General features: G+C 35.9%; 1 protein-coding gene across 5 annotated transcripts in view; it reads left to right on the top strand.

The window, feature by feature from the left end:
• Positions 1-13,329, top strand: part of CDH8 (cadherin 8) — a 389,189-nt gene that overhangs the window by 172,807 nt on the left and 203,053 nt on the right. For all 5 annotated transcript variants that reach the window (NM_001796.5, XM_005255760.5, XM_047433482.1 and 2 more), the window contains exon 4: positions 6,394-6,513. In NM_001796.5, the coding sequence (NP_001787.2) occupies positions 6,394-6,513 (120 nt within the window). The remainder of the gene's footprint in view (positions 1-6,393; positions 6,514-13,329) is intronic.

Genomic DNA, 13,329 nt, shown 5'->3' with positions numbered 1-13,329 from the left:
CTTCTGATCATAAGAGTTTTAGCTTTTCCAGTGGGCACATTTTTACGCTGCACCAAACTGTCGTTTTCCTGATCAGGGTGTCAGCACCAGCATTTTTCTTTCTGAATAATGTGCAGAATTGGTGTGCTGACTTACTCATAAAAAAAAGTATAGCCTCGCTAACACAGCTGCACTACCCAAACCCCAACATCTCATTTTCCTGAAGGTCTTTCATCTTAGTTTATCAGCAAACTGGAACCTCCACCCCGACAGTGTAGCATCTTTGATGGTTAATTTTGCCTGTAGTTTTTGCTGTTATTATGTGGAAGGGGAGAAAAATGGGTCCTGCTGCTAATGGGAGGAAACTTTCAGGTGTGGCAAGAGGCACATGATACTGTAAGCCTTTTGTTAATTAAAATCCGAGCAGCACATTGGCAAATTTCACTTAAACGAGTGAAACAAACTAAATGCAAAAAAGAAAAAAAAAGTTTGTTTAATGCAGAATTCACCTTGGAATTGATGTGTTCATACTCGGCTTGATACTAGCAGGCTGAATTGTGGTGACAGGGATCATTTTTGTTGACAACAGCTGGAAATACAACAGCTATATTATTATAATTAGGATCAGTATCAAGTTGGATTATAATAGGGGCTTTCTTGGAGAAATGGCACAGTGTCAAATTTATAGTCACTAGCTAAATGAGTCTCTTGTATCCTTGACAAAGGGACAAAAACAGTTCCAAATGAAAACACAAACAGAGAATCCTGGTTGTTATATTTCCTGGGTATTACTCAGGGTCCTATTTATCACACACCAACACTTGCAGCTTTGAAGAAACATTATCCTGCAAGGTTTACACATTTCAATTTGCCTTCGTGGTCTGCATTCTGTATGCATATCCATGGAGAAGTGTGCATTGCTGCTTGACTAGCAATCTTTTCTGCTAAAAGATTAACCTCGAAACATCCATTTTTTCCCCCATGGGCAATCACTTGACAAATGCACCCACAAAACCTCTACACACATCTATTCCAGTGTACAGGTGCATCAACAGTCTTGAGTCACTATTAGGAGAAATATCGTCCTTGACGGAAAGTAGTGCTGCCTTTTCATTTTCAGATGTCTAAAGCTGAAGGATGTGGATTTCCAGGAAGCCAGACATCAGGCAGAAATATTCTGGATGAGTACATGGGTAAAAGCTTGTCTTAGCTCTGTTGCAGTCCCCAGCCCAGTAGTTCATCTTGGCATGGACTGGGAGATATGGCATTCATTCAAAATGCCATCCATTCAAATAACAATGAGAAACTTGTACTGATGATGTGCCCGGTGTCTAGCCTCCTGCTTAATGTATAAGCTTTTACATAGTACACTTTTGTTTATAAAATACTTTTTATTTTTGCTCTCAGAGCAATTTTATACCAAAGAGAAAGGTGATGTGAGATAGATTAGTAGACTGGATGGAAGAATGAGATAATGAGATACTGTGTGTGTGTGTGTGTGTGTGTGTGTGTGTGTGAGTGGTGTTTGTGTGTGTTTTCTTTTGAGCAGTTTTACTAACAAAATCACTTTCTTTCTAAGCGTGTGGATATATTGCTACATTTGAGATTGTCTTTTTGTGTTTCCCCCCAAATTTAATGAAATCTATTGTCAAAGCCATTATGCAAAACTACACTTAATTATAAATTAAAGCATTCACTACCATCTAAAATTGTAAAAGATTAGTTTGTTAGTTTTACCTGTATACACACATAATATAACAATAGTGACAGTAAGCTCGTAGTGTCAATAACTCTTCTGTGCTCTTTGCATACAGTAATCCATATAATTATCTCACCAAGGCTATGATGATGTAACAATAATGTTCACCTTCCTTTTTAAAGATTAGGGAACCAAAGCTTGGAAAACTTTTGTTACTTGGCCAAGAACACAGAGCTAGTAAATGTTGGAGATGAAATGTAAAAGAAATGTTCTGGTTGAAGACATTTTGACTCCACATGTATCCTCTCAACCACTTTTCTATACTTCATGTGATTACATGTGATCCTCACGCAAAACTTTGAGGCTTGTAGAATAAAAATTGTTTGTCTTTGCATATGAAAAGCTGAATCACAGAGCATGTAGAAGATAGAAACCCAACCCCTTACTCCAGCACCAGTAATAACATGATGGGCTGCCTCTCATAATAAGATAAGATCAACAGAAATAGATATGTTCATCATCAGTCTTGTAAGCTCCAGAGAAAATATCCTATCTTCCATTTAACAGGAAACAGTTTGCATGACTATGGAGTATGAAAAAAGAATACTTCACTTTACAAACGAATCTGAATAGTAGTTCTTCAAAGTAATCACAATAGAAATTAGTGTCTCTAGGGAGAATGGATGAAGCTAAATTTTAAAAAGTTTGGTGCACACTACAGGCATTTTTAACTATTATTTTGTATCAAACTGCCTGAAAATATTTTTTAGAAATGTGTCTCCATTTTATTATTCCATAGATCTGGAAGGGACATTAGGGGTCTGTTTTTCAGAGGGTAAAACCTAATACAGAGACATTTAGTACTCACTGGCTTAGCATGTTGTTATTTCTGTGATAGGTACCTACATATATTATTTTGTTTAATTCTCACAATAACCCTATTATATTTTGTAGATTTAAATCTGAGGCTAAGACAGGTTAAAGTATTTGCTCAAAGAAACAGATAAGCGTTTCAGAAGACGTCAGAACTATTTTATGTTCAAAACTGTTAACCCCATACTACTCTGACCAAACGCACGAAGCCTGTGCATAAATAAAACAACACGGTTTTTCAGAAAATATTTGGATATGTTTTTTTCTCTGTGAAGGCATTTCCTAATTTAAGAGTCACCCACTAGAAGGAAATTTGGTAATGACAGGAAGTTTTGACAATTTGTTCACTTTTCTTTTTCGATTACATATGCAGTGACTGGAACTAAATTCTCAGATTCATTAACTTAATATCATACTGAATATTACATCTTGACTTATTTTTTTTTTCTGATAATGTGTTACTTCACAATATGGGAACATAATTTCTCCTTAAAAAATGAAAGTGAATACACTAGACTACAAAACAAAGCAAAAAAATAAATTGTTATATGGTCTTCTACATGAAGAGACATCTTTCTCATAAGTCTCTGAACTCTGTTAGTTCTTTCGGTAACTCTGGTGTCTTTTTCTTATTATTCATTCTTTTTCTTTAATTTTTGGACTAATTTTAGACTTACAGAAAAGTTGCAAAAATAGTTACTACATACCCCTGTCTTAGTCTGTCTTGTGCTGCTTATAACAAAATACCTAAAACGGGTTAATTAATAAAGAAAAAATTATTTTCGCACAGTTCTGGAGGCTGGGAAGTCCAAAATCAAGGTGCAGCATGTGGTGAAGCCCTTCGTACTGTCATCTGAAGAAGAGGAACACTGTGTTCTCTTATGATGAAAGGGAGTTTGTCTCTCCCTCTGTTAAGCTCTTTTATAAAGGTGCCTAATCAGGCACTGAAAGGTGGCTCACACCTGTAATCCCAGCACTTTGGGAGGCAGAGGTGGGCAGATCACGATGTCACGAGATAGAGACCACCCTGGCCAACATGGTGAAAAACGTGTCTACTAAAAATACAAAAATTAGCTGGGCATGGTGGAGCACACTGTAATCCCAGCTACTCAGGAGGCTGAGGCAGGAGAATCGCCTGAACCCTGGAGGCGGTTGCAGTGAGCCAAGATCACACCACTGCACTCCAGCCTGGGCGACAGAGCAAGGCTCCCTCTCAAAAACAAAAGCACCTAATCTCTTGTGAGGGAGGTGCCCTCATGGCCCAATCACCTCTTAAAGGCCCCACCTCTTAATATTGTTATGTTAGCAACACCTGAATTTTGGAGGAGACACATCCAAACCATAGCAACCCCTGACTCAGTTTACCTTCAGTTTAACACCTTACCACAAAGATCAAAACAGGGAAATTAACGTTGATATCCACTTCTATTGTCATTACCCAGTGTTAATGTTTTATCCTCTCTTAATTGAACTACTGTTGTAACCTCATAACAAGTCTGGTCTCCTAATCTGTGTCTCTACTTCCAATTAAATCCGGAGGCCCTAACAGAGAGAGTGGCCCACAATATGGGTTTGCTCTTTAACTGAAATTTCTTCCATATTTCCTAGAGGGTAAAGCCAGTGCTCCCCATCTTGGCATGAAAATTCCCCTATATTTTCTTCTTAATTTCATGTCCAGGCTTAGCTTTGGTGGCAGACTTTTTCTGTCCTGTCATCCCTCTTTCTGAGTATTTTTTGGCAATTTTATCTCACTATCTTCCTTTTACCTAGAAGGTTTTACTCCCAATTCTTCTGCATCTTATGTAATACTCAAATAGCTACAACTATTGTACTCTCATGTGTTCATTTTTGCTAGCTAGTTGATGAGTTACTTGCATCTGGTGGAATGTGTTACACAAGAGGCATTGAGTTGCATTTTTTTATAACTGCAGATTTTGTAGAACCTCTGAGTCATCATTCTGAGTAGAAATTCCAATTTTACAGGACTATCAACTGCTCAACAAATATTATTATTATCTTTTCACTTGGAGTGACTGTAATTCAAAACACTTCCAAAAGATATTGACGGACTAGATCTTGCTAAAGTTCTACCCTATTTCAGTAAACACTGAGGTATGCTGCTTTTCCCCTAGTTGCTGCTGAACATGTTGATTTCTGACAGCCCAACACCGATACTCCCTGCCACCATTTTGTAGTTGTCCTCCCCTGAAGGGAGCTGCTTGGGCCAAGACTAAGGCTCCGTTCTCAGGGGGCATCTTGCATGCTGTAACTGTTTCCTGCTGGAATATAAAAGCTTGGCCCATTTCCTCAACGGGCATGCCATCTCTAGAGCCCTATGGAGTCCAATGAGGCTTTCGTTGTGACTGCATCACATCCCAGATGCTTCTGTCCAGTTTTGTCCTTTTCACTCCCCCCATAGATATTGATTTAAAATGCTCTCCAGTGAAAGTTTAGCAAGAAGTCTTTATCTCAGAGTCTACTTCCAAGGAAACTAATCTGTAACACCTGCCTGCTGTTTCTCATTAAATCGTCAGATAATTTATTCACTCACCCATTTATTCAATGAGTAAAGGTATATTCAATAACCATTATGTTTCCAGCACTTGCTGCATGAAGAAGACATTGGCCCTGACCTCACAGCATGTGATTCTTGTTACCACACCAGACTTTTTCAATTTCTTTCCATTTTCAGGAGTTCCCAGAACTTCCCATAGTCTCTCCCACTACTTTGCCTTTTCTTATGTTTATGTTCTTGCTTAGAATTCCTTCTCCTGGTTAAACTCTACCTTTCTTTGATGATTTAACTCAAAGGCAACCTCTGTTAGAAAATGTTCCTGATCACCCTGTCTGTGCTGGACTAAGTGAGAGATCCATAATTGGTGCTACTGCATTCAGCTGAATTTCCTTCTCTATTTGTTTGACCCTTCCTCCTCTTATTCCCCCTCGAACTGCGAGCTTTTTGAGTGTAAAGATTTGTTGTGTGTGTGTGTATGTGTGTGTGTGTGTGTGTGTTTGATTATTTACATGTCTGCCAACAATATACTTGGGGAGGCAGGTGGAAGTTATTTTTTTTAATGGCATCAAAATGTATAGAGATTTGGTTGCTCTTTAAATCCAAAATGTATAGGTTTGCTCTTTAACTGAAATTTCTTCCCTATTTCCTACAGGGTAAAGCCAACGCTCCCCATCTTGGCATTAAATTTCCCCTATATTTTTATATATATACTCCATAACAGGCAAACTGTATATGCTCAATTGTTGAATGAATGAGTGAATAAAAAATAAATTTGAAAAAAAGGTTATGATTCTGTTATCCATTATGCCTAATTATGTAAGCAAGATGATTAATTGGTGACTCAGATCTAATTTTATATTCTGAATAATTAAACAAGATGGTATAAAATATTCTTTTGATATTTCTGTACAGCTTTTCAGCAGCCAATTTTTCCAGGTACATTTAGTTGTACTTTTGTAAGACGTAAATGTGACATGGTATATTATATTATTAACCTTATATTTCATATTCCTTTGTTAGGATTCCTTTGCATATTCCCCAAGCCTGCATGCTTCTAATACTTATCTTTAAAATGAAAGCTACAAAGTAATCTTAAATAATACAGATACTAAAAGTATCTTTATATAGTACTCCAGGACTCTTTCTTTTAAAAGACTTAGATATTGTTGAAGTTATGAGAGAGCAGTTTATCTTCAACTTTTTAAAAAGATTTCTTTTCCTTTTATTCCCTACACATGGATTTCTGTATAAAATACTTGACAAAATGTAGCTCTTGGCAAAGGACAATGTGTTAATTATTATCTTTTTTCTTTCTCTATTTTATTAGGTACATCTGTCACTAACGTCACTGCGACCGACGCTGATGACCCAGTTTATGGAAACAGTGCAAAGTTGGTTTATAGTATATTGGAAGGGCAGCCTTATTTTTCCATTGAGCCTGAAACAGGTTTGTGGCCTAAATTTCGAATTATATTTGCCATGTTTTTGCTTCAGGGAAATGCTTTTCTTGGGATTTGGGTTATGAAATATTATGTGTAAGTACTTCACTGCCTGCATCAATAATATTTGAATATGCGACATGAGGTACACAGTGAGCCCTACAACCATTTTTGATGCTGATTACGACAAATCACAGAGCATTTGTAGGATATCACCTATTTAACACATGATCTGACACCATTTTTCATCCTGGAATAAAGGGAAGAATGTGCTTATATATCAGAGAAACTTAAATAGTAGATTTAAGTGAAAATTCAGTTGCTTATTGGCTGTGTGATGCTTGAAAAGTATCTAAGTTCCAATTTGCACATCTGTAAAATGGGTATGGAACGTACCACATAATACTGTGAAGAAGATCAGATAAAACAATAAATACCAAACACACAGTGCACGTCATGTGGTAATCATTCAGTGCACTTTAGATATTATTACATTTGCTACTAGATTCCTCCTTGTAAAACACAATACATATATATCCATTAGAGCTCTTATGAAGATATTATTATGGTCAATATTAAATCCAGCTAATACCCTGTGATCTGGTGGTACAGATTTTATAAGCCATGAAGTAAGTTATCTAACAAACAGCCTTTTTAAACCAGGTTAAAAAATAGCTTTATAAAAATAAGTTTTTAATAAATGAAGATATATGTTTTTAATGTTTTAATTTAACAGTATATTAAGAGATCAAACATATTTTGTCTGACTTGTAAATCCTGTGAAGTTTTGTTGTAGCACATTTAAAAACTATTATTAAGAACAATTATTGTTTAAAAAGCAATTTTTTTTGTATATTTTCTTCTATATCCAGTGGTATTGTATGTAAGTTTCCAAATAGAAAAATTCAATGTACAGGCACATATACATATATTATTATTTCTTTGATTCATGACTTTTCAGCGCTGTTGAGATAAATTTCTATGACTTACCATTAATTCAGTTATTAACTAAATTAAAAATTTAAAGACTACCCCTGCTTTTTTCTTTTAAATTCAAAGGGTAAAATCTTAATACGTTTAATACTGAGGAAAAGTACATTTATATATAAATAGGTCAGGGCGTAAAATTGAATTTAGATTTGGAAACAGGAAAGAACTCTTGTAAAACACATTAATTAGGGGTATAATTATATATCCTTCCGCAGCCAAGAAGGAAGTCTGTTCTAAACTTTTTCTCATTTGGGTCCCTTGATGATCCTGAAATGGCAGAGCAGGTGGCTGCCTTCAAGTTTGAGATGTCCTATAACTTGGCCAAAGTTACAGTGGCAGAGTTCATAGCAGAGGTGGGACTCACACCCTGGTTTTTTATTTCGATACTAATGTCAAATTTGTTTTGAACTTCAGTTTAATAGGTAATAACTATGGCACAGGGTCTTCTGTAAGACAGAAATGTGTTAGATGCCAAAATGGACCTGAGTAATGTTCTCTTCTTGGCCATTTGTTCAATTGGGTCTTTTTGTTCACCATTGCCACTGCAAAATAGACATTAATCCAGAAAATACCTATTGACATACCTATACACATTCACTGTGTGCCAGGCACTGGATTAAATATAGGGAGAAAAAAATCACAAAGGCTAATCTCAGTCTACAAGTATCTCATAATCCATTTCAAAAGACAGACTTTTTCCACCATAAATAAAGGTAGCATGGTAATGTCATTTAGATAATTTGTTTCTTAGGAATAAATTACTATGAGGTATAAATAATAAAAGCCCCCTGCTAAGTGAGAGGATTTGGACAATTATAAGTTTCAGTGATATAGATTGCCATTTGTTTAATTAACTGTTGTCAGCAACATTTAATATTTACATTTTTATTCAGCATAATGTGTATATATATCAACACAAACTCATTTTAGTTTTATCACTTCCAATCTGACAGATATCAAATTGTCTGATTTATAGTTTAGAAAGTTTATTTGGCATTATCGTGGATAGTGTAATGGAGATAGATGATACTTGAAGAATTCACAGAATATTTTCTTAGTAATGTTGGGTGAATGAAGTTGAGGTTTTTAAGTAAGGTGGACACAATTTAAATAAAAATAGAAGCTAAATTCAATAATCGATAAAAGTCAGACTAAGTTCTTTAGATGAAACATAAATATGTATGAGTGGAATGTAAACATTTTTGGGTAAATGTCTGCAAAATTATGCTTGAGTGTGTTCAAATGAAAGCAGTAAGTGTTAGTTGTCCCTAAGAATCTAAATTAGACTCTATCTTTGAGGACCTCTCTCTTAAAAAAAAGAATTGAGACTGATAAAATGTGTGTGTGTTTTAAAGGAGGTTATACAAGCTAAGCAGAAATAGATTAAGAACATTGTTTAACATTTTTTATTAGAAAAACAAGAAAAAAAGAGGCAATGGCCTTGAACATTTAGATTTTAAAGTCTGTAAGCATATGGAAAGCAAATACCCCCTTTGTGGGGAACAAAAGATGTGTATTAGTTGGGTCCTTTGGAAAATAGAATGCTGAGACAGAGATAGTAGTGCCAATGGCTTATTAGGGGCTTATGACTGTGAAAAATAAAAGGGGTATGTAGCCGACTTGGACATGGAAGTTCCTCTTATCAAATGCAGATCTTCTACCCATGCGATCAAAGAGGAGAAAAAGCAGTATAAGGCAATGTAGATCTGACAACATCTTGACCAAAACAATGGGACCCCTGGAGCAAACATTACTCTTAAAAGGAGTCTCATGTTGCACATAAACGGCCAGGCTTTAATAAACTCACCATGCTCAGTCATTGGCTGGGATGTGCCTGTGGAAAGCAGGGTCTTGACTTGGATCCTGAGGTCAAGCCTAAAGGTACTTCAGCTACAGGGTCTCAGCTAACTGCATGGAAATCCTTAAAGTAATCCTTTGGCAGGAAAATGCAAGCAGTGGGCTTCTGTGTCTTCTGCAGTGTGTGTGTGTGTGTGTGTGTGTGTGTGTATGTGTATATGTGTGCATGTGTGTGTGCGTACTTATAAACATATATACATGTATATTCACACATATATGTATACATATATACACATGTGTATGTAAATATGTGCTTGTATATACACACATACATATGTATATACATATATATTTATACATACATATATGTACATGTATATATACACATATATGTATATGAAGAAAACAACTTTTAATTCTATAGATTTAGCAAATGTGATATTAAAAACTATAATATGCAGGAATAGCAAGTACTTGGTGGATAAACCGATAATGGGAATATTAATATATACGTTGATTTTAAAAATGCATGCTATGGGTCAAAAACATTATGAATGGCTACTAATTTTGACCCAAGAATCCAAATTCTAGTAAAAGAAAGAAAATGTCATGGATGAGCAGAGACTCGTTACCTAAGACCCACATACCTCTGAGAGCACCTAATAAGATGGTTCTTTACATGATAGGTCTGCACATTACTTCAGGAAGTGACCCAGCATAGATGGGTTCGAAAATGTTGGCTGAATACCATTACACATCACCACATATGTGGGACCAACCTTCAGTTCCTTTTTACACCAGGATTCTGGCATACTATCAAGGGTCAAATCTGTAGCTAAAATGATCGATATTGTGACAGTGAACAGTCCCTCACCGGGTTACATAAGGCAGTCACATTCATACTCTTTATAAAGAAGATTGTCCATTGACCACTGTCAGCTCTTCTTTGCTGTTATCATATTTTCAATAACAAAAAATAAACCAGGGCATGAGACAATAAATCTTGTATGTATCTTGTTTTTTCCTCGCAAGAATGCTAAAAACAGAACTCTGGAATTTGGAACAGATAAGTTCTGCTCTCCCCTTGCTTGTTACATTTCACTTCATGGAATTATTTTCTGTTGCCATAACATATCAGAGAGAGCTTCTTCTATTGTTTCAGTTATCACCTTAAGAGCACAGAGAGATATACCATTTGTTCTTTATTTTCTTCTTTGAGCTTTAACAAAATCAGGGTTATCTTGTTTATTGACTTGTTTATATTTTTTAAGTTAATTACCATGCTAGAGTGCAAGGTCCAGGAAAGAAGGGGGCTTGTATGATTTGTTGATTTTGCAAATCTATGCATTCCTATGCCTAGATGTCTGGCACCTAGAAGTCCTTCAGTAAGTAGTGAAGGATGGAATGAGGGAAAGAGGGAAGGAAGGAAGGAAGGAAGGAAGAATGGAAGGAAGGAAGGAAGGAAGGAAGGAAGGAAGGAAGGAAGGGCAGAGTCAGGGAGAGCTGGAGGAAGGGAAGGCCGGGAGGGATGTGCAAAAGAAGCAGGGAGGATAAAGGGAAGGAGGAAGAAAGTGCAAATTAATAGAAAGAGAAAAGCTTGCCACAATTCATAGAGAAGATGTAAGAGGAAACATCTAGGGAATAAAGCTTGGTATCCAGTCTATACTTCTATCTGTTTCTCTGATGGAAAGAACACCATATTAATCTCAGATATGATTGTTTTGTTTGAAATTCATTTAGGAGCAGCATTCATGCTTTTTCCAAATCTCATACTATGTTTTAAGTGTCTAGGCAACACAATGCTATTCTAGTATTTGCAAAAATAGCCTTGAGACCATAATAAACTCTTGCTCAGATTTGCTTCTAGATCATACAAGGAGATAGAAAGGTTCTGGGACCACTAAACAAAGAAGAAATGATTATTAATATATCTTCCTATTCCAGAGGTCACTGTGATGGTACTACTAGTGCTGCTAATAATAACAGCAACAATAGAAAGCCAAATCATTGTGTATATACAGTCTTTTAGGTTTGACAAAACACTAAACCAAACTGTGGAGTGAAGAATTTCTGTCTCCATTTTGCAAATGACAAAACTGTGTTTCGGAGAGAATGAAGTAAAATGTCTTTCTCACCTTTAGATAAATTCCTCTGTCAAATCATAACAGGAAGAATAAAAAGAACAGAACAAGAACTTTATTTATTGAACTCTTACTATGTTCTTGCCATTGTGCTAACTGGGTTTGCATACATTATTGAATTTAATTTAATTTTTTCCACACAATATTTTGAGGTAGGTATTAGTGTCATCTCACTTTTACTGATGAGACAACTGAGTTTGACTTGCATGTTTCTTGCCCAAGGTGTTTGAAGCAGGATTCAAGGTGAATCTGCCTGATCCCATACCTCAATTTTTGACCTTCTCCCTTGCTTCCCACTTAACTTTCAAGCAGTATAGTTCATACCTGGGAATGACATTGGTTTGAAAAGAGACCTAAAGAACTTGGAAGCAGGTTCAGGCCTCCTCTATCCATAGGTGTTGGAGAGACAGTGTAGCATCAGAGAAAATGGAAGGCAGTAGTAATTGTAAAATGAATTGTCATTCTTGTGAATAGTTTTTATTATGGTACTTCAAAAGGCTGAAAATAGTTTACTTGTATTCTTAAAATGTTTTTTTTTTGTTTTCCCCTCCCTGCCACCCCCAATACCATATGTTTGCCTGTAATATTTTGGGCACAGACAAGGAGAAATGTGGCATTTATTTAAAAGGCACTAATTTGAGGACAGCAGTGAGAAAACAGATGCAGTCCATCCTAGGTGATTGAAGATGGAAAATCTAAATAAAATGCAAGGCAAGTGAATAATAAATGCTTAATTATCTAAAGAGACCAGGGTAAAGTTTCAGAACAGCCTAAACTTTGCTCCAGGCAAGTGAGAGTATGAAAAATAACCTGCTTAAAAATAAACTAAGTTAATTCATTGACCTTTTTTTGAAACTCAGACCATTTTTCTTCATTGGGTACAAACAACATTTGTCTCTGTGGAACCTGTAAAAATGAGCTAAGTAAAAAATATTCCTTGGGAAAAAAAATCCATGTAATGAATGGTTCTTTCTTAGAAAAATCAAGATAATACATGGAGTCTTCATGGAATGCCTTCATGGAATTGAGTCCTTTTTATGCCTTCGGAGTCAAAATGATAAATTGCTTACACACAGGGCCTCTTTTTAATCAGGATTGCATAGATTATAATTTCCAGTGCCAAGAGGACTGGCTAAAGAACTTGCTTAGTGAAGACATTTCAGAAGGGGTGGGTACTGAGATAAACTCAGGCAGATGAACAATGCTGGGATATACATTTATAGGTGGGAATGTCTTCATACTTCACATTATTCAATGCTTAGTCAATATCTACATGCTGCCATGTTGTGGGCACTAAGATTGAAATGCTGTGTGTGATAAATACTACACATAATATAGGGTTCATGACATAGGGATGTTTGCTAAGTGCCAACTTAGCAAACATGTATGAAGAGCAAGAAAGTATTTTTTAGAGTAGTGATAACAGAGAATATGTCCTGAAAAACTAATGGTAGTTTAAGAAATGAAAATGTGGGGTAAGGGGAGCTATTAAATAAGGTCTTTTGGCATGAGGAAATCAAAGGGCTGTGTGCTCAGGGGAAAAGATAAATTGGTGATCAGGGTGATATTGAGAAATTAAATAGTTTTCATTTTCTCAATGGTATTAGAAGATTTTACTTGAAGAACTTTTTCGATATATAATAAACGTAATCTGCAATTTAGAAATCCAAACGTAACTAATTTCAGTCTGACTTTGAATGTGTGCTTTCACTTCTTGTGACTTAAGTACCCAGTTTTTATTTTTATTTTATTATTATTTTTTGTCCTCTCCTAATCTTATGTTGAAATGTGACCTCCAATGTTGGAAGTGAGGCCTAGTGAGAGGTGTTTGGGTCATGGCGGCAGATCCCTTATGAATGATTTGGTGCCCTCCCCTCAGTAATGAGTTAATTCTCA

This window comes from Homo sapiens, chromosome 16 (assembly GCF_000001405.40).
Source record: "Homo sapiens chromosome 16, GRCh38.p14 Primary Assembly".
NCBI classification, from domain to species: Eukaryota; Metazoa; Chordata; class Mammalia; order Primates; family Hominidae; genus Homo; species Homo sapiens.
Note: the sequence above shows the minus strand (reverse complement) of the source record. Positions and strands in the feature narration are given on the sequence as shown.